We start from the raw sequence: 23603 nt of genomic DNA on the forward strand, positions 1-23603 counted from the left end.
CTAAATCTTCAAATGTTGGTGACAAAAATATTTTAAGGTTAATTTTTAAAATAACTTGCATAATAGCCAAAAAGTAGAAATAAGTCAAATATCCATCAACTGATGAATACACAAAAAGAGTAGAAATTATCCAGCAATAAAATGAATAAATTACTGATACATGCTACAATGTGGATGAACCTTGGAAACATACTAGGTGAAAGAAGACAGTCACAAAAGACCACATATTGTATGATTCCATTCAAGAGATATCCAGAATAGGCAAATATATAGAGCTAGAAAGTAGACTACTGGTTGCCCGGGGTGGTGGGAGGAGTTAGGAGAAGTGAGGAGTTATTGCTAGTAAAGATGGGCCTTTTCAGAGGGGATGACGAAAATGTTCTAGAGTTGATTTTGGTGATAGTTGTACAACTCCGTGAATAAGGTAAAAACTCAATTGTATACTTTAAAAGATACATTGTATGGTACACAAATTATATTTCAATAAAAGTATTAAAAAACAAATTGGTGCTTTGTGACACACTCGGCATAGATAGAACATTAAATTTCAACCTGGTCTTAAGTAACTATTTCTCATCATATATGTAGGAGCATATGTTGAGAAGTGATTTTTCAGAAAAGTGAGAAGGGAATTTTCTGACTCATTAAAATTGCAAAAAAAAACACATATAATAACAGTAATAACAAGGACTAACTATTATTAAATTAAGTGAGGAGCTGTGCTGTCTGCTTTATATGTGATTCTCCCTGCAATTCCAAGTTAGATGACTCTATTCTCATCGTGTAGATAAGGAAACAGACACTCGAGTTTTCAGGTGCCCCATTAACATTCACTACTACTTTAAAATTCTGCTTGACAAGAATTATGATAGGAGGCAACTCCATTTTTGAATAGGTAAAAAAGCCAACTTTTAAACTTCAGTGTACTTCATTTTAGGTCGAAAGAACTTATACTTTCAATTCCACTCAAAGGTTTCAAGATTCCTAATAGAAGAGTGGTAGGTAGTGTACATGATAGAAGAGGCAGATTTCATCTAATAGTGTACTGTCTAAGAAGATGGATTTGAAACAGAAAGAGCTAATAACATCAAAGATTTTCTTTGCTAGGTCATCCTTTATACATTAATTATACAGAAGTGCCGGCTTAAATGGATATTCTTGCTCTAAGAGTGTTTTTTTAAGAGAGGGTTCTTTCCCTTACTCTGCACTTGAGTTGGGAGATATTATCAGAGAGCTATCAGAGAGATAAGTTGATAGAGCAAGACAAAGTTTATTTCATTTGTAGTATAAGCTTATTCATTTACCTGAACAATGAATCATCATTGTATAAGAGACTGTGTCACCATGACAGCTAGGGTAAGATCATCTCTGTCCTGAAGCTGCACTATGGTTTGAAATCAGATATGTATTCATAAAATCTGCTTTAACTTTTAAAATTTATAAGTTTCTCTTATTTGTGCTTCTAATGTATAACATAAAGTAATATAGCCCTACAATCTACTGCTAGATATTCATTTTTAATATCATTCATAAATAAATGTTGCATGATGTATAAAAAAAAGAATTTTTCATGTTGCTCTATAACTCCATTAAAGACAACAATCTCCGAATAACTAGGTAGAATAATATGCATTATTTTTCACACTTAAAATATTTTTATTTTTATTTCCTCTAATTTCAAGGGTACTATTTGTTTACTATTTGTATCTGGTCTTGTTGGTGCATACATTTTGCTCAGATAACAATTGGGTATTTTTTAACTCTTTAAAATGAAAACATTATTTTAAAATCAAGGTGGAGGGAATAAGATGGGATTGATTAGTTAAATGGGATTGATACTGATACCATGCCTGACTCATTCTCCACATCATTTAATTTAATCCTTCCAATCAGGAGCTAAAATTGTCTCATTTTTCTGTCAATTGCTAACAACTTTTCTGTCTTCCCTGTATAATGAAAAAAATGGAAAACTCTATTTCTTTTCTGTTTGCTTGTGCTTTTTTTCATTCTGCTGCTTTCCTATACTTGTTTCTTGTTTATACCATCACTTTTTTTTTCCTGAGTCACCTGTCCTGACTACTATTTTTCACAGTATCTCCAGTTATCACACGGGTTTTATCCAGTCCTAGGTTTTGCTGCCCTTCTACCCAGCTGTACAGCTGGTTCAAAGCTCACAGCTATGGAAAGTGGATTCTATTTGTTTGGTAGCCTTTTTTTTGGCAGACTTTGCTCTTACTTTATTTCACTTTAGTTCTCTCCTATTACCTAAGCTTTTGAAATAATTTTGTTCTGAGAGTTAATTTGGTTGGTTTCCTTCTGTCCTTTGTTTAGTTGTCCTTCACTACTTCCAGTTAAATTTTCCCTTTTCTTTAAATGTCAAACAAATTATTACTTTTCCTTATGAATATAGTCAGTGATCACCAAAGTTGATGCTTATCTTCATTTGATCCAATAAAATAAATATAAGGATCTTATTTAATACACACACGCACACACTGCATTAAAATAAATCAATTTACACAATTGTGATTCTCTTGCAGAAGCATGATGGCCACTTCACAGTCATCCAGTTGGTCGGAATGCTCCGAGGCATTGCATCAGGCATGAAGTATCTTTCTGATATGGGTTATGTTCATCGAGACCTAGCGGCTCGGAATATACTGGTCAATAGCAACTTAGTATGCAAAGTTTCTGATTTTGGTCTCTCCAGAGTGCTGGAAGATGATCCAGAAGCTGCTTATACAACAACTGTAAGTTTATATGCCCTTTCCTAATATAGTCTGTTTACTTTTATTGTTTTTAATGTCATTAGAGTAATTCTGTTTCTGCCTTCCTAATTTTCTGCTTGTATTTATTACTTTGCTAATTTGATATCATTATTTAATTGAGAAGTATTTGCTTTGAGTGTCTAGTTTATAACAACAACAACAAAAAAGAAAACAAAAACTTTCATACCTGACTGTTTTCTTTCTTTCATTGTCCTGGGACTTTAACATCATGCTTAACGTCCATGTCATGACTGGATGTTATAACATGGGCTGAAGTATCTTTGATGATTTAATAATTTTATTTAAATAGAGTTCTGTGTATCTAAATGGTAGAATTAATTACTACCTCAGTAATATGAGGAACCAGTGATTCTGAAATGACTTTATTTCCAAATGGTTTTGAATGATCTGATCATACTTATAAAGAACAATATGGGTTTCTTTGGAGATATATAAGTACACTCTAAACCTTTTCCTAAATGATACTTGGAGAAAATGTGAGCTGAAATGCAAATTTAAAACTTTAGAACCAAACCGTCATCCACAAATTATATCAGTTCAATTTGTCCTATGGATAGTGTAAATATTTCTGACTGTCCTAAACCAATTCATTTCACTGATCTCCTTGGTTATTGTTTTGAGAAATTTGGTCTCAAAGTCTCTGTTGTGCTATCTTCAAGCTACTAATTCATAAAGTTATATTCTGTTATTTTTTTAAACAAACCTTCACCACTAACTCATTTGGCAGTCAGTTTCAATGAAAAATAAGTTATTAAAGCTACTCAAAAGATTTTTATTATATTCTTATTTTCTCACTTTACACATTATTTTAAAAGATGCAACTTCATTATTGAGTCCTTTTTTATTTCATGCTCTATGAGTTTTTTTGAAACTTTGCTGTATTCAGTTACTCCAGAATAAAATGCAAGTTTAATATTGTGAAAGGAATATTTTATGCCTTGCTATATTTGCTTTGTAGAAATGTTATCTATTAATTTATCAATGATATTTTTCACAGTTTCTTCAACAAAGAAATATAGTTCTAAGGAAAATAAATTAACCTTTCATTGTCTGATATATAAAGTAGCAGTGTAGGAGTATCTACTGATCTTTTAATTTAACCAAAAAGCTTCATAAAAATAAAAGTCTATCAGTTCTGAAAACAATTTGTGCAGTTTAGAAAAAGCAGTATTTTCAACTCCATTTTTAAATTGGAAAATATCATAATTATTTTCATTTTTCTCAAGGCCTTTATTTTCTTTTATCTTTACAAATTTATAACTTAAAACAACTTTTGAAGTTATAGAACAACGAATATAAAATTTTTCCATTAAGCACATTATTTCTAATGCTGAAGAATAATGTTGAAAAGTGTTATACAAATATTCCAAATGTAATATTTATAAAAATTGCAACAAATACAATCTACTAAAAAATAAAATATGATGGGAAATTACTACACTCTTTGTGGCAGTAAGCCTATATAAATAGACTTGAAATTTAATAAAATAATATTTTAACTGCTTTTTAAAATGGTAAGCTTATAACTAAATGTAATATACTCATGAAATTGGCAGATAACTGAAATTTTTATGCATACGTAAGTTTTGTTACATCAAATTTAACAACCAGACTCTTGGCATTTTCTGTCTTATGTGATTCTAAAGACTAAGAGGCCTAGGACAGTGCTTTTTAAAATTTAGATTGGACCCCAGACTTAAATAGCAAATTAGGTAACCAGAATATTAACACTCTAAAAACTGCCTTTGAAAAGCTGTAGATTATGTCTTGATTAAGAAATAAGTCTCTGAATTTAGAAGGTATCAATTAAATGGCAAATAATATAATCAAGTTTTTTTTTTTTAAGTCTCAGAACTACTTACTGTTCAGAGGACTGACTTTATAATGAACATGGACATTCAGCACTTAAAATAGTAAAGCTCTTGCCTTTAAAGACTTTATACTTTCACAGGTTAGAAGGTTCATGCTGCCTTGCAATTCAATACAGTAAGTGTGGTCATGGGGGTCTTAAAAAGAACTACAGAAGTACCAAAAAGCAGAGGCTGAAGAAGGCGTCACAAAAAGTCAAAATGTGAACCAAATCTTAGGAGAATTTATTACGCTGACAGTTGGAGGAAAGGTAGTCCAGATGGAGAAGAAGAAAGAAAAAAGACATGGAAATGCAAAAAAGTGAATGGGCCTATCGATGAAAATTTGGGGCCATAGGCAATGGAGGGGCCAATTTTCCTGGAATAAATGTAAAGGTACCTGAGTGGCACTCCAAGAAATTTGAAGGTTTTTGTATAGCAACTAGGAGACAGGCACTGATTTATTTAAACAGGAAATAACAAACATAGACGCATGTCTTAGAAGATATTATTGGGGCCGGGCACGGTGGCTCGCGCCTGTTATCCCATCCCAGCACTTTGGGAAGCCGAGGGGAGCGGATCACCTGAGGTCGGAAGCTAGAGACCAGCCCGACCAATATGGAGAAACCCCATCTCTACTAAAAATACAAAAAAAAAAAAAATTAGCCAGGCGTGGTGGCGCATGCCTGTAATCCTGGCTACTCGGCAGGCTGAGGCAGGAGAACCGCTTGAACCCAGGAGGCGGAGGTTGCGATGAACTGAGATCATGCCATTGAACTCCAGCCTGGTCAACAAGAGTGAAACTCCATTTCAAAAAAAAAACAAAAGATATTATTGAAACAGTGTAAAGAAAGGAAGGAGAGTTTGAAGGACAGGAGGACTAGTAGCAGACAGACCAGTTAGGCATTATTGCAATAAACCAGAATGGTTATATGACTTTAATTAGGGCAATGACAGTTGGAATAAAGAGGAGGAGAGAGAAATAACATAAATTAACATGTTCATTATATGTTCATTATGATTCAATAATTAATTGGATATTAATTGTAAGGAAGAAGGAGGATTTAAAGATGGCACTAATATTTCTAGATTGAACAACTGGTTAAATGGAGATGCTGTTAATCAAGACAGAGAATCCCTATTAGAGATGACCTGGCTAATGGTATTAGATTACAAAGCAAAATTATAAAAGAAGATATTCTATTATAACAAAATTATAATAGACAGATATTCTGTCTCAAAGGCAAGATAATGCCAAATGATCATTGGCATTCTGTCAAAACTTTGTTTATAAATTTTAGAGCATTCTATGAATGTACTTAGCCCCCAAATACTTTTCACATTTCCTCTTAAAAAGAATGAAATAGTTAGAAACCTGCCTACTGAAGATACAAGTCAATTCAAGCAAACCCTGTATAATAAAATACAGAGGAAGAATGGTCATTTATATGAAAAGGGTGGGGGAGGAGCCAAGATGGCTGAATAGGAATAGCTCCGGTCTACAGCTCCCAGCGTGAGCGACGCAGAAGACGGGTGATTTCTGCATTTCCATCTGAGGTACCGGGTTCATCTCACTAGGGAGTGCCAGACAGTGGGCGCAGGATAGTGGGTGCAGCGCACCATGCGCGAGCCGAAGCAGAGCGAGGCATTGCCTCCCTTGGGAAGCGCAAGGGGTCGGAGTTCCCTTTCTGAGTCAAAGAAAGGGGTGACGGACGCACCTGGAAAATCGGGTCACTCCCACCCGAATATTGCGCTTTTCAGACCGGCTTAAAAAACAGCGCACCACGAGATTATATCCCACACCTGGCTCAGAGGGTCCTATGCCCACGGAGTCTCGCTGATTGCTAGCACAGCAGTCTGAGATCAAACTGCAAGGCGGCAGCGAGGCTGGGGGAGGGGCGCCCGCCATTGCCCAGGCTTGCTTAGGTAAACAAAGCAGCCAGGAAGCTCGAACTGGGTGGAGCCCACCACAGCTCAAGGAGGCCTGCCTGCCTCTGTAGGCTCCACCTCTGGTGTCAGGGCACAGACAAACAAAAAGACAGCAGTAACCTCTGCAGACTTAAATGTCCCTGTCTGACAGCTTTGCAGAGAGCAGTGGTTCTCCCAGCACGCAGCTGGAGATCTGAGAACGGGCAGACTGCCTCCACAAGTGGGTACCTGACCCCTGACCCCCGAGCAGCCTAACTGGGAGGCACCCCCCAGCAGGGGCACACTGACACCTCACACGGCAGGGTATTCCAACAGACCTGCAGCTGAGGGTACTGTCTGTTAGAAGGAAAACTAACAAACAGAAAGGACATCCACACCAAAAACCCATCTGTACATCACCATCATCAAAGACCAAAAGTAGATAAAACCACAAAGATGGGGAAAAAACAGAACAGAAAAACTGGAAACTCTAAAAAGCAGAGCGCCTCTCCTCCTCCAAAGGAACGCAGTTCCTCACCAGCAACGGAACAAAGCTGGATGGAGAATGACTTTGACGAGCTGAGAGAAGAAGGCTTCAGACGATCAAATTACTCGGAGCTACGGGAGGACATTCAAACCAAAGGCAAAGAAGTTGAAAACTTTGAAAAAAATTTAGAAGAATGTATAACTAGAATAACCAATACAGAGAAGTGCTTAAAGGAGCTGATGGGGCTGAAAACCAAGGCTCGAGAACTACGTGAAGAATGCAGAAGTCTTAGGAGCCGATGCGATCAACTGGAAGAAAGGGTATCAGCAATGGAAGATGAAATGAATGAAATGAAGCGAGAAGGGAAGTTTAGAGAAAAAAGAATAAAAAGAAATGAGCAAATCCTCCAAGAAATATGGGACTATGTGAAAAGACCAAATCTACGTCTGATTGGTGTACCTGAAAGTGTTGGGGAGAATGGAACCAAGTTGGAAAACACTCTGCAGGATATTATCCAGGAGAACTCTCCCCAATCTAGCAAGGCAGGCCAACGTTCAGATTCAGGAAATACAGAGAACGCCACAAAGATACTCCTCGAGAAGAGCAACCCCAAGACACATAATTGTCAGATTCACCAAAGTTGAAATGAAGGAAAAAATGTTAAGGGCAGCCAGAGAGAAAGGTCGGGTTACCCTCAAAGGGAAGCCCATCCGACTAACAGTGGATCTCTCGGCAGAAACCCTGCAAGCCAGAAGAGAGTGGGGGCCAATATTCAACATTCTTAAAGAAAAGAATTTTCAACCCAGAATTTCATATCCAGCCAAACTAAGCTTCATAAGTGAAGGAGAAATAAAATACTTTACAGACAAGCAAATGCTGAGAGATTTTGTCACCACCAGGCCTGCCCTAAAAGAGCTCCTGAAGGAAGCGCTAAACATGGAAAGGAACAACCGGTACCAGCCACTGCAAAATCATGCCAAAATGTAATGACCATCCAGACTAGGAAGAAACTGCATCAACTAATGAGCAAAATCACCAGCTAACATCATAATGATAGGATCAAATTCACACATAACAATATTAACTTTAAATGTAAATGGACTAAATGCTCCAATTAAAAGACACAGACTGGCAAATTGGATAAAGAGTCAAGACCCATCAGTGTGCTGTATTCAGGAAACCCATCTCACGTGCAGAGACACACATAGGCTCAAAATAAAAGGATGGAGGAAGATCTACCAAGCAAATGGAAAACAAAAAAAAGCAGGCGTTGCAATCCTAGTCTCTGATAAAACAGACTTTAAACCAACAAAGATCAAAAGAGACAAGGCCAATACATAATGGTAAAGGGATCAATTCAACAAGAAGAGCTAACTATCCTAAATATATATGCACCCAATACAGGAGCACCCAGATTCATAAAGCAAGTCCTGAGTGACCTGCAAAGAGACTTAGACTCCCACACATTAATAATGGGAGACTTTAACACCCCACTGTCAACATTAGACAGATCAATGAGACAGAAAGTCAACAAGGATACCCAGGAATTGAACTCAGCTCTGCACCAAGCAGACCTAATAGACATCTACAGAACTCTCCACCCCAAATCAACAGAATATACATTTTTTTCAGCACCACACCACACCTATTCCAAACTTGACCACATACTTGGAAGTAAAGCTCTCCTCAGCAAATGTAAAAGAACAGAGATTATAACAAACTATCTCTCAGACCACAGTGCAATCAAACTAGAGCTCAGGATTAAGAATCTCACTCAAAACCGCTCAACTACATGGAAACTGAACAACCTGCTCCTGAATGACTACTGGATACATAACGAAATTAAGGCAGAAATAAAGATGTTCTTTGAAACCAACGAGAACAAAGACACAACATACCAGAATCTCTGGGACGCATTCAAAGCAGTGTGTAGAGGGAAATTTATAGCACTAAATGCCCACAAGAGAAAGCAGGAAAGATCCAAAATTGACACCCTAACATCACAATTAAAAGAACTAGAAAAGCAAGAGCAAACACATTCAAAAGCTAGCAGAAGGCAAGAAATAACTAAGATCAGAGCAGAACTGAAGGAAATAGAGACACAAAAAACCCTTCAAAAAATTAATGAATCCAGGAGCTGGTTTTTTGAAAGGATCAACAAAATTGATAGACCACTAGCAAGACTAATAAAGATAAAAGAGGGAAGAATCAAATAGACACAATAAAAAATGATAAAGGGGATATCACCAACGATCCCACAGAAATACAAACTACCATCAGAGAATACTACAAACACCTCTACGCAAATAAACTAGAAAATCTAGAAGAAATGGATAAATTCCTTGACACATACACTCTCCCAAGACTAAACCAGGAAGAAGTTGAATCTCTGAACAGACCAATAACAGGAGCTGAAATTGTGGCAATAATCAATAGTTTACCAACCAAAAAGAGTCCAGGACCAGATGGATTCACAGCCGAATTCTACCAGAGGTACAAGGAGGAACTGGTACCATTCCTTCTGAAACTATTCCAATCAGTAAAAAAGAGGGAATCCTCCCTAACTCATTTTATGAGGCCAGCATCATTCTGATACCAAAGCCGGGCAGAGACACAACCAAAAAAGAGAATTTTAGACCAATATCCTTGATGAACATTGATGCAAAAATCCTCAATAAAATACTGGCAAAACGAATCCAGCAGCATATCAAAAAGCTTATCCACCATGTGAAAGTCAATGTGGCGATTCCTCAGGGATCTACAACTAGAAATACCATTTGACCCAGCCATCCCATTACTAGGTATATACCCAAAGGACTATAAATCATGCTGCTATAAAGACACATGCACACGTATGTTTATTGCGGCATTATTCACAATAGCAAAGACTTGGAACCAACCCAAATGTCCAACAATGATAGACTGGATTAAGAAAATGTGGCACATATACACCATGGAATACTATGCAGCCATAAAAAATGATGAGTTCATGTCCTTTGTAGGGACATGGATGACATTGGAAATCATCATTCTCAGTAAACTATCACAAGAACAAAAAACCAAACACCGCATATTCTCACTCATAGGTGGGAATTGAACAATGAGATCACATGGACACAGGAAGGGGAATATCACACTCTGGGGACTGTGGTGGGGTGGGGGGAGGGGGGAGGGATAGCATTGGGAGATATACATAATGCTAGATGACGAGTTAGTGGGTGCAGTGCACCAGCATGGCACATGTATACATATGTAACTAACCTGCACGTTGTGCACATGTACCCTAAAACTTAAAGTATAATAAAAAAAAAAGAAAAGGATTCTTTGTTTTATAAGAACATCTGCATGAAAATAGCTTTAAAGAGAAAATTCCCTTGATACGTATATATTTTACGTATAATTCAGTTTTTTTAAGTTGTATCTATATATAACTTTCTTTGAACGTATATTTTACCTCAGATGATTTTGACTTTTTCTCTTGCTGTGTAACTATAATTGCTATTTGCTCATTATTTGTAAATGTTTTTTATAATCTGTGTCAGGAAGGATTTGGAGGAAAGAGAGGCTGCGAGGGCTTAAAAATAAGAAGACATGATAGATAAAGGTTGGGTTTTGTGGGGCAGTTGTTGGGGAGAGGTTTGTAATCTTCAAGAAAAAAATATCTTTAGAACAGTATGCTACATGGAAGCTATCCTTTTCTAATCAAAATACGGACAGAATAGGCATTTTCCATTAAAATGACTTTGCCAATTCAGAGACCCACAAATCACAACAAAGAGCAATCAGAACTGGTTAAAGAAGATGGTCTGGAAAGCTTGTGTGAGCAGTGCGAGTCCAGCTCTGGTTATGGTACTGGACTGGTCCTCATGTGGAAGAGAAACAGAAGGGCCATGGGAGCCAGTGGCCAGACCAGAAAGCAATGTGACAAGAGAGATAACCCTCCAACAGTGAGTCTTTCAGAGCCCCGTTTAAAAATCCTATACATGTAATATATAAGACAGTATTGTCCACATTTCAAAATACACTAAAGTAAATGAAGAATGAGATTTACACCTAAATATAAGTAGAAATTCTAATATTTTCTTCTTCAACTTGAGTGTTTTGCATGCCGTGCTCTAGGTCTGACATATTCATTCACTGTGTACTTTACACAGTTTATTATAGAGCGACCATATTTCAGGCACTATTCTTTGGAGGGCCAATTGTGAAACAGCTTCGCTAATTATCAGTCCCAAAAAAGGACTCCCATTCCATGAGGAAAACAGCAAAAGATCAATCATCACTATGCCAGCCACCAGAAACAGGAGTCCATATGTACTTATGCCCACTGCATCCTGAGCTACTGTGTAGGTCCACCATGCACTGGGTACCTATTTGCCAAAATCCAGTGAAAGAAAACATATTCACAAGTTATGTGAAATGGGTTTACTTCTTATAGATAATTAGCAAGGGACAGAAGTCTTGGATCCATTGTGTGTGGTTCCTCCAAGGCTGAAGAAAGCTGAACAGGAAAGATGTAGTCTTGATATGAATGCTCCACTTTCACAGCTGAGGGACCCTGAAAGGCAGTCCACTCTGGATTATGTACTTCAGGGGCCACATGACATACTGGGCAAAGCTGTAAAGGACATCCAGCTTCCAGGGAAGAGAGGAACAAAACTCAGTCTGTCCCATGCAGTTCCTTCGTAACTCAAGCTATTCAATTTCCTAGGAGGGACAGGTTTCAGGCAGTTTCTCCCTATCTGAGGATATTGCATTCCCAGCACATTGTACTGTTATTCTTCAGAACTACAAGCAAGAAAGCAAAGAGAGCTGGGTTGGTCCAAGGCCACTCAAAGAACTCTACTGCACCACCAACCAAAAACAAAGGGATTATTGAGAACAGATAAATGGCTACACAGGAATAAGACCAAGGGTAACCAAATAAGGCATATAGTAAAACTCATATATTGTACAGACACCAAGAGTCGACAGCACAGCATGAAAGGCAACAAGAGTTGTAGCAGAAGGTTTTTCTGGTATAGTATGTAAGCCCTGAACTAAAATACATCAAGCTTTTTCAAAGAAACTTTAAGATCTGATAATGGCATGAAAACCAAGAAATGTGTATTGTGGGCCAAGATAGAAGGAAATAAATGCACAAAAATAGGATTTAGATGAGAACTGAGGCCTTGTTTTTACATGCCAATTCTATGATGAGATTACAAAGCACTTATGAGAGATTAGTGAATGATTAGGGTCCGCACCTAACAATACATATATAATTAGTGTTATGTGGCTAAATTAATCTGCATAAAAGTTACTGACAGTTCACATTGTTTCCATCTGATTACATGGTCTCCTGTCTGGTTATAATTTAGGTGCTAAGAAATCACTGCCTTTTCTGAGTTTGACACACATTCACATGGACAACTGTTTTATAACCAGTTCCAGAGGAGGGACTCTCTCATTTGAATATTGCTAGGCAACCCAGTCTTAAACTTACATTGAAAATGCTAAGCCTCTTGGCTCTCAATTATGGAAATGAGATCCTATTTACCTAAAAAGAACATTAAAAGATATATTATGGTGCACACTCATCCATTTTAAGAGATAGGTTTCATTTAAAATATAATGGCAGTAAATGTTCAGATTTTTAAAAAAATTCTCATGAGTAAACTTCTTTTATTATATTTTGAAGATCAAAGCAAAATAGAAGAATCATTTATTGCAATACTCGTTAAAAATTTTATGAGTCCTTGATTTTAACTTCTAATTGCATCGATTTTGTGTTATCCATGGCAAATTTTGGTTTTGTTTGTCTGACAGCAGCAATTCAGTCGAAATACTTTGTTGAAATACAGAGCCTCATTATTGACAATATATAATCTGCATAATTACAGTTCTGTTAACATCTTAATTCTGTTTACTTTGCATTCATAGGACCTCTTCCAAACTCTAACACTTAACCTCTGCTATTCTGCATAAATTCTGAGAAAAGCCAAATTTTCTGTCGGTCTAAGAAGACATAGCCTACACCCAACTGGAGATAATTATAAAAAATAATGAAGCAGCATGAGGGGAAGGTATTTAATGTGTATTTTAAAGTTGGGAGAGATTCTCCTTCACCTAATTTAGGTGTTTGTGAATTGGCTTGACTTTTTGAAGTTAATTTTTAAGCCTTGAACATGTCCAACTTTAAGAACTTTAAGAATAAATATTTTAACACAAGTGAGATCTGCCTTTAAGTACTTTCATTAACATGAGTAAATGGGATTCGTCTGGAGATCATGCTTAACCTTTTAGTAAAACATACTCAGAACTTTCACTCACTTTGTCTCTTAAATTAAAGAGTTGGTGTAAAAAGTTTGCAGCGAGAAAAAAGATTAAAGGTTTCAATTACAATTATATAATAACCAATGCACTGAATAAAAGGACTCACACTGAAAAATGTTACTGATTTCTCGGATTCTAAAGAATAAAACTTTATCCATTGAAATTCTACCACAGGATTCTCTGTCATCAAGTCACTGCTGGTGGAGCTGACACTGTGCTAAGATACAATACGTGGTAAAATGCATTTTACTCTAACTCTACCCTAGTTCAACTGGGTCTAAGCCGAAAAATTACTTACACTCAATTTTTCTTTAAGACTTGACCAAGCTAAAAATGGAGGGGGTTTGACTGCTTTAGGCACAAAACAGGCACTTAGGTAGAAAATCATGAAACCAACCGTGTTAGTCTGTTTTCTCGCTGCTAATAAAGACATATCTGAGACTGGGTGATTTATAAAGGATAGAGGTTTAATTGACTCACAGTTCCGTATGGCTGGGGAGGCCTCACAATCATGGCAGAAGTGAAGGAGAAGGAAAGTCACGTCTTACATGGTGACAGGCAAGTGAGAGCATTTGCAGGGGAACTCCCATTTATAAAACCATCACACCTTGTGATGGTCACTACCACGACAACAGTATGGGGGAAACCACCCCATGATTCAATTATCTCCACCTGGCCCCACCCTTGACACGTGGGGATTATTACAACTCAGGGTGAGATTTGGGTGGGGACACAGCCAAACCATATAATCTACTAACATAGAAAAAGCTACATATAGCAGCATATATAGAATATAAGAACAAGCTCCTTCAGAGAATTCACTGGGAAATTCAAATAAAGGAAATGGCACTTTTTTTAGGCAAACCTAAATTCAGCCACATAAGAATAAAGAAAAGTGAGAAAAATAGCAGCATTATCAGAATGCTATGATGTGAAGATTTAAATAACTTATTTTTCAGTAAAAAAGGTGATAAGTAAATAAACCTTGGAAAAGTGAAAAACAACAAAAATCCAAGCTGGATAAACCAAATTCATCTATTAAGAAAAGAGCTATGCCACTTGGGAAAAAACAACAAAATCACTATTCACACACACACACACACACACACACACAACAATAGTTCTATGATAGATGCTATGCTAGTAGTCAATCAAAACCAGTCAAATGTATTGACCATTATAATTCGCTGATGAGGAAGAAATCGATGCGCTAATACTAGGTTTCCTAAATTCACAGGAAAACAGTACTCTTGATCCAGCAAATGTTTGATAGATTAATTCATGAAGAGAAAATCTGACAGTTTTTATATACTTTCTTCAATATAAACTTTTTGTAAAGGATACTCTAATCATCTAATACAAAAGATATATTCTTAAAAATTAGTAGTCTCCACATCTTGAGCCCATTTGTCAGAAAGCAAATCCACAACAATGGAGATGGAGGAGCAACACACATAACAAACGGGAGAGAATATGTGCTAAATGCATGGTAAAAGTCTTCTCCAATAACTGTTTGAGGTGTGAACACCATAAACATCAGCTTGGATCATAGGCATAGAGACCCAGAATCTTAATGGTACTTGTCTGGGATGGTAGTTTCAGAAGGGCATGAAACTCTTATGAAATATACTGCTTAGGTGAACTGACAATGGCAGATGTTAAGCATATGATGGAAAGTGGGGATTAATGCAATACCAAAGGAAATTACTGCATAAAGAATTATTTCCTGAAAAGCCCTCATCTATGAAGCTTAGGAAACAACAGTTTGCGGTCATTACAGAGTGATTTTTAGTAAAACAAATGAAAAAGATTTTAAGATTATCATACACAAAGGAAAAAATGATTGATAAAATGGTAGCTTCATCAAAAATTTTGAAAATAGATCCATCTGGCTCAGTCATATATACTATTAAGAAGGCAAGCCAAACTTTGAGAAAACCTCTATATTTTATTTGTACAAATCACACACAAAAAAGAACCTAAAAAACAAAAACAAGAAGTCCTTGTTACATGTAATAAGCCTTTTGTCTCTTCAATATGTGTTTTAAAGAAGAGGACTCTACTCTTCTTTAAGAGGCTGAGGCAGGAGAATTGCTTGAACCTGGGAGGCAGAGGTTGCAGTGAGCTGAGATTGCGCCACTGCATTCCAGCCTGGGCAACAGTTCAAGACTCCATCTCAAAAAAAAAAAAAAAAAAAGGAGAGGACTCTAAGAAATAGACCTTGGAAGTCATCATTATTTAACACAAGAGAATACTGAGAAACTCCAACTTTCTTTTCAGCACTCAAGATTTGGTGTGTCACTTGCAAGTGGTTATTTTGTTTCGATTTTGTCCTAAGATAACATTTGCTATAGATTTGTGGCAAGCAAGAAATTTTATGTTTTACATTTTTGAAAGCTTCTCAACACCTACAGTAATATACTACTTAATGGCTTATTTATTAATTGCTGATAATAAAACCAATAGGAAATAAGTAGAAAGAAAGTGATTGAAATTATAAGAACATTGTCTTTAGTACAATTACATTCATTTCTTCTCTGATATCACTGTTAATCACAACCCACCAATCTGTAAACCTAAAACAATCTTCAATATATTGCAAAAGCAATGAAAAATCTGCAATAGAAAGAAGCAAATGTAGCAAATGTTAAAGCACTTACAATGATGGGTTAGGATATTCACAAGCAGACAAGAAAATTCACAAGCAGAGGGGGAAAGTCTCTAAAAGCATATTGAACACAAAAGGATATCTATAGCCTGGATAAGATCCAATAAAAATGATTTATAAAATCACAGAATACATAATATTTTAATATTTATAAATATCTGCAATACATCTAGTCCTTCTAACCTAAGTGCTAATCAGTGAGGAATAATCAAATGCCAGTCACAGTTCTCAAGATATTTTCCGTACAGTTTGATGATTAAGAATCTCATGAAATGCCAAGTGCTGTTTGTTCGTGTGTTAGCAACATTCAGCATTGTCTAATTCAGAGAAACTCTCCCTTTTCCCATGATTTTAGAACAAACCCAGACTATATTGATTTACTGAGAAAGATCAATCAGCACATGTCCAGCAAGCAGAGAGTAAAATGTCATTGGCCCATCTTGCTTGTACAGAAAAAAAGACAAAGTAAAACTATACACAAACATGCTGACTTTATTTTTTTTGTAACTTTTTTTTTTAGGTTCAGAGGTTTATGTGCAGGTTTGTTGCATGGGTAAATTGTGTGTCACTAGTGTCACTAAAGTTTGGTGTATAAATGATCCCACCACCCAGGTAGTGAGCATAGAACCCAATAGGTAGTTTTCAACCCTAACCCCACCTCTGTCTAGTAGTCCCGAGTGTCTATTCTTCCTTTCTTTATGTCAATGCATACTCCATGTTTTGCTCCCACTTAAAATAACATACCTGCTGACATTAAATCTAGAGTTTCAAAGATACCAACAGAGGAAATAAAGTCATAACTAATGCTTAATCGCTAGTTTCATCTCTGATGTGAAAAGAATGCTTTTGTCCTTCAACAGTAAACAGCTAAGAAGGAAAACATGATAAATACCAGACAAACCACATGAAATCTTTATGGGAAAGCTTACTTATTCCCAGTGTAAAAAGCTTCACATCAATGGCAAATAAAGTGAAAACATTACCGGTTATTTATGCTGTTTGCAACAGACCCTATTGGCTGCCCATTCAACCTCTCTTGTTATTTCTTCCTGGCTAATGAAACCTTGAAATTTGGATGTTTTCAATGAGCTCAGATCCAAGAAATAAATCAGGATTTATATGTCAGTTATAGTTATACCACTATCCTTGGACACTTAAGTTTTACACTTAAATATAATAGAAGTGAGATGAGGAATTTATTGGAAAATTTCTAGTTGAAATCTATCAAAAATAGGTTTGAGTGGGGAGCTTTCTAGTACTGGCCCTTTCACTTTCTTTATTGCTTTGAATATGGTTTTGGGAGGACATAATGCTTGGAGCTGTGACAGCCCTCTTGCAGACATGAGGCAGCAAGCCTAAGGAGTTAAACCCAATGCTGAGTATGGCCAAGTAGGAAGATCTAAAGAGCCTGGATCTCAGATGAAATTGCTGAATTTCTGCATCAAAACAGAAACTTACTCCTGTTTTTTATTTCTAATTTAATTAAGTGTTTTATTTGCTTAAGCATCTGAGTGTTGGGTATTATGACTCTATGACTTGTATCTGAAGACATTCTACCTGATATAGTAATCAACAAATATGAAAACTTCCATATTAATAGATAACATAAATAGAGAAATAATAAAATGAGGAGTTTAAGTATTGTGTCCCCACAATCACACAAACTAACTAGGTATAAGGATACTATAAACATACAGTTAGTTTGGGGCCCCAATAATCATACATTTTACATATATTCTTAATATTATAAGTCACTATGTTAGGTAGTGGGGATAAAAGTGCTTAGGGTCTCAAAAGGAAAAATAGACAAGTATGATTGCATCAAACTAAAAAGCTTCTGAATAACAAAGGAAACAATCAACAAAATGAAAAACAACCTACAGAATGAGAGAAAACACTTGCAAACCATAGTTTTCTGATAAGGAATTAATATGCAAAATATGTAAGGAACTCATACAACTCAATAATAATAATAACCTGGTTAAACATGGGCAAAAGACCTGAATAGGTATTTCTCAGAAGAAGACATACAAATGGCCAACAGGTATATGAAAAGGCAGTCAACATCACTAATCGTCATGGAAATGCAAATAAAAACGCAATAAGATATCACCTCATACCTATTAGAATGGTGATTATCAAAAAGACAAAAAATAGCAAGTGGTGGTGAAGATACAGGGAAAAGTGAACTTTTGCACATTGTGCATGGTAATGTAAATTGGTACAGCTATCATGGAAAACAGTCTAGAAGTTCCTCAGAAAATTAACGATAGAATTACCATATGATTCAGCAATCCCACTTCTAGGTATATAATCAAAGGAAATGAAATCAGTATCTTGAAGAGATTCTGCACTCCTGTGTGTGCTGCATCATTATTCAAAATAGCCAAGATATAAAAACAACCTAAATATTTCTTTTTGAATGAATGGATAAAGAAAATGTGGTGTGCGAATTATCATTCAGCCCCCAAAAAGAAAATCCTGCCATTTGCAAAACATAGATGAACGTAGAGGACATTATGCTAAATGACATAATCCAGAATCAGAGAGACAAATACAACATGATCTCATTTACATGTAGAATCTAAAATAGTCTCATAGAAGCAGAGTAGAATGGTTGTTACCAAGAGCTGCAGGGAGAGGGAAATGGGAAGATGTTGGCCAAAGGGTACTAAGTTTTAGTTAGGATGAATATTTCTGGAGAGCTAATACACAATACTAAATTTAACAATACTATATTGTATGCTAGAAATTTGTTAAAAGGGTAGATCTTAAGTGTTCTCACCAGAAATTTTAAAAAAGAAAGGTAAATATGTGAGGTGATAAATATGTTACCTAGCTTGATTGTGGTTATGATTTCACAATGTATATTAAAAACATCAAATTTTATACCTTATATATAGATAATTTTTTGTCAGTCATATTCAGTAAAGCTGAAAAAGCGCTGGGGAGAAAACATTAAATAATCATGCTATTGGATAAGTAATTACAATCTGAGATTCTGTACAACAAATCTGTGAGTACCTACTGTTTTGGTAGGTACTGTTCTGGTCACTGGACATATTCCAATAAGTAAGCTTTCTTCATACAGTTTACAGTCTTGAGGATGGCAGAAATAAAAAATAATTTTTAAAAGATAATCTCAGATAGTGATAAATATTGGATATACAACAAAAATAAAAGTGAGTAGCTACCTTGAAAGACATGGCCAGTAAATATTTCTTTAATAAGGTTGTCACCTTTGAAGTAAGACCTGAAAATTGTAAAGGTACCAGCCAGGAAAAGATTTGAAGTCAGAATCTTCAAAGATGAGAAAAAAACAAATATAGCTCCTAAGATGAGAACAAGCTTGGTGTATTTTAAAACTAGTAATAAAGCCAGGATGGTTGATACCCTGAGAGGTAGGGGAGAGTGTTAAGGAAACAAAGAAAGAAGAGCCAGATGCTGTAGGAACTCAAAGGGCATGGAAAAGAGTAGAAATTATATTCTATCTACAAAAGGAAGCCACTGGAAAATTTTAAGCAAAGGGTGACATATGATTTGTGTTCTAAAGAGCTCATTCTGGCTGTATATTGAGATTGATTTACAGAGAGGAGGGGAGAGAGATAGCAAAGAGATCCATTTGCACAACCCTAGACAGGAAATGATGGTGCCTTAGTTTATGCCGGTAAAGAAGAAAATGAAGAGTGGTGAAGATATTTGGGATATCTTGTGGCAGTAGATCAGCTTGGAGAAAATATATATATTATATGTTATATATTATATATTATATATTTTATATATATATACACATACATATATATGTTTTTTGTGTATGTTTTGGGGTTTTTTGTTTCTCTAGATGAGGAAATTGAGGCCCAAAGAAATGATTTACACAAGTCACACGGCTATTCCATGGGAGACTATGTCAGTTAGCCATTGCAATAACAATGTTTGGGGAAAGTGCCTGTCCCACAATCAAATCCTCCTTCTTCCCCAGTAGTTTCCACTGCAAATTCTTTTCTGTCATATGCAAACTCCCTTCAATCTCTTACCTCTGAGACTCTTGCAGAAGACAATGGATATCGGCAGTTGAAAGTCTTTGAAGGTTGAGAAAAAAAGAGAAAGATCTCATCATTTTTTATGGGTGCATAGTATTCCATGGTGTATATGTGCCACATTTTCTTAATCCAGTCTATCATCGTTGGACATTTGGGTTGCTTCCAAGTCTTTGCTATTGTGAATAGTGCCGCAATAAACATACGTGTGCATGTGTCTTTGTAGCAGCATGATTTATAGTCCTTTGGGTATATACCCAGTAATGGGATGGCTGGGTCAAATGGTATTTCTAGTTCTAGATCCCTGAGAAATTGAACAATGAGAACACATGGACACAGGAAGTGGAACATCACACACTGGGGGGCCTGTTGTGGAGTGGGGGGAGGGGGGAGGGATAGCATTAGGAGATATACCTAATGTTAAATGACGAGTTAATGGGTGCAGCACACCAACATGGCACATGTATACATATGTAACAAACCTGCACGTTGTGCACATGTACCCTAAAACTTAAAGTATAATAAAAAAAGAAGAGAAAGATCTCTTAGTCTTTGGCGATAGATGTTACAAATGCAAACACACCTCAAAATGTTTTTTTTTTATTTTTCTTACCAGTCTTTTCAAATTATTCTACAGTGAGTATTGTACTTTTATGGTAAACGAAAGTATTCTACAGTGAGTATTGTACTTTTATGGTAAAGGAAAGAGAACAATATATGTTATAAAACTATAGAAAGAAATAGCTCCTGGCAGAGTTCCAAGGTAGCCTTCTGTTTGGTATATTAAAATTTCTTCTCTCTGGTATTAGTTGCTAAACAACATGTTTGTTTTAATGCTACTTCTTTAATCAAAAAGTTGGCTGGAGGTCACTTCACTAGGCAACATTTATTTTTAAATGAAAGATAAAGAGATTAAGGAAATAAATATTACTACTACTGATTTTTTAAATGGAATTCTGGTCAATATTCCAAGAAACTTCAGATTCTTCCCCAGAGTTTAAAATCTAATACCTATTCCTCAGTGTCACCATAGGGCCTACCATAAGCCCCAGAATCAACTTTTCCGAACCTATAAATAATGATTAGGAGATCTGAAGCTAGAGAAAATGCTACAGAATCTTAAAGTGTGTGTTTAAAGATAAAAAATTTTAAATATTATAAAAATGTATCCATATCCTTATTAAGAAATAAATACCTTTTTTTCTTTTTCATTTACTGTATTTTCCTACCTGGCTATCCATTGATTGGTCTGTGCTAGCTACTTACTGATCAGGCTTATATAGGTCAAACCTTTGCAGTCATGATTTATTGCAGGAAAGCAAAAGAAAGCACTGAAAAAATGACTGCAAAGAGCTTTCCTCAAACTCTCCCTTGGGCCTCTCTGTCTCTTCAAGTAACAGCTCTGAATGCATCTATGATCCATCAATATTTTCATATATTCATATCATTCCCTGTTCACATTAACATAAACACACAAAGTTTCACTGTACCTAGTTTTGCTTCTTTAAACTTGCAATAAGAACAGGGTATTATCATATGAAACATACACATTACTCAGTTGTTTAACCATCCTCTTAATCAGTGTATAATATGTGTCACAAAAAGGCAGCTGCTAAATGAATTATACATAAAGGTAATGCTTTCTAGATTACTCCTGCCTGTATATATTGCATAATTTAGGCCTGGTCCTTAATTTTCTTTTTATGGAAGCTGAATCATTACCTTGTTCTTTTAGTAGTCCAAATGTTTGTTTTTCCTGTATGCTATAAAAGTAAACTTTTTAAGAGAAGTCAACATTTTAAATTTGTGTTTATAGCATGTATTTTTCTAAAGGCTCTTTTTTTAAGGAAAATTTTCAGGCTGTGTTTCTTAGTTAAGATGAAACTATGTTTACTTTTAAAAATAACTGCCACTAAAGGAAAAGCATAAATTTGATAGAACCAAGTTGTTTTCTTATATAAAGTAAAAACTAACAAAGAAGTCAAGGAATAAACTATTATACCTTCATCTCCACCCTACCCTCTATAGGTTCCATAATCAAGGCATTTCAGTAGCCCAATATGGATATGGAGTCATTAAGAAATGGAAATACTACAGACATAATATGGTAGAGTAAACAGTAGGTTATAAACTTGGAGCTGTGATTTTAATCTCAGCTTGGCCATAATTCAGTGAACAGACACGAATCATTAATTTGAAATCCTTGTACCTCGGTTTCCACATCTTGAACAGAATTAATAAAACTGACCACTCTATTTTACAGAATGTTATAAGAACGAACAGGATAATAAATAAGCTAAATTATAGATCCTAGCCACTATTGAGACTAACAGCCTAGGAGTCACCAGAGACACTTATTGAAAAATGCAGATTTCCAGTTTCAGCCCCTGAAATTCATTTTTATTCAGTATGTCTGAGGGAAGAATAGCAAGAATTTCCAATCTGGAAATTCAGATTTTTAATAAACACCCAGGTGATTGTGAAACAGGTTATCTAAGAGTTCCATCTTGATTAACTGCCCTACTACAATCTAGACACATATCCAATTATTTCCTCCTCCAGCCTTACACATCATTAGATAGGACAGAAGTCACAAGCAGGTAAAAGAATTGTCAATACAGTGGAAAGGGGGAGGAAATAGGAAGGAAAAGGAGTGAATAATGGGAAATTAGAGCTGTTCTGGTTACACTAAGCATACTGTACAACATAAATTAATAATTTCCCTGGCATTATTCTTAGCATTATGCTTTTCTATCTCACCCACACACTTTTAGTTTCTATTATAAGATAGTTTTTCATGTAAAACATGCTTTATAATGAAGAGTGAGACTATGAGCCCTGATTTTTTTCTCTGGTGCTCCTTTTGTTGAATTTAGTATTTTCCCTTTTGCTACCTTTTTCTTGCATTTTCTTCTCTTTAATGTATCCATGACAATTATTTGTCTCCAATATAGACCAATGTAAAAATGTATGTCCCTTCCATGGCACTTACTGAAGACCTTAAAATTTTGTGAAAATACTTTAAACTATGATATAACTATAACCTATGGCCAGAACATAGACAACTTTTCTTAGACAGTAATGTCATTCAGTTGCCTCAGGTGCTTAATTTTATCTCAGAGTCTTAAAACAATTACATATTATTTCAGATTATGCCATGAAACTTTAATATCTCTAAAGTCAATGGGGTTTTAAGGCACTTGGAAACGATTAGGTTTTGCTTGAACTCCAATATACCTTACGGGAAATAGAAGAAACCGTGGGAATTGCAGTTTCAAGAGTTTTGACCTAGAATATCCCCCTTGTTCGAAGGTGAAATTCATATTCCACATTCAACATTAGAAACTACAGTAATCTCCAGATCACTTTATTAAAACTGCACATGCTGAGGGGGAAAAAGACATAAAAGCATGATAAAACAACACCTTTGTAAAAGCATCAAACCATGCTACCAAAGGGTCATGATACATTTGTATAGGTGTGCCCTCTTGTGGTGAATGAATGGAACCCAGGACATTTGGAAAGCGTTCTGAAAATCAGGGAAGAGCAATT

General features: G+C 35.8%; 1 protein-coding gene across 16 annotated transcripts in view; it reads left to right on the forward strand.

The window, feature by feature from the left end:
• Positions 1-23603, forward strand: part of EPHA6 (EPH receptor A6) — a 946939-nt gene that overhangs the window by 820739 nt on the left and 102597 nt on the right. For 14 of the 16 annotated variants that reach the window (XR_001740110.2, XM_017006211.2, XM_006713592.4 and 11 more), the window contains one exon: positions 2541-2750. Coding sequence is in view for 15 of the 16 variants with exons in the window: in XM_017006211.2 (XP_016861700.1) it covers positions 2541-2750 (210 nt within the window). In the remaining variant the exon portion in view is untranslated. Of the gene's footprint in view, positions 1-2540; positions 2751-10786; positions 10979-12953; positions 13246-23603 lie in introns of those variants that run through there. The other 2 variants (NM_001278300.2, NM_173655.4) reach the window with 2 other exon arrangements.

The sequence above is a fragment of the Homo sapiens genome, chromosome 3 (genome assembly GCF_000001405.40).
Source record: "Homo sapiens chromosome 3, GRCh38.p14 Primary Assembly".
In the NCBI taxonomy this organism is placed as follows: domain Eukaryota; kingdom Metazoa; phylum Chordata; class Mammalia; order Primates; family Hominidae; genus Homo; species Homo sapiens.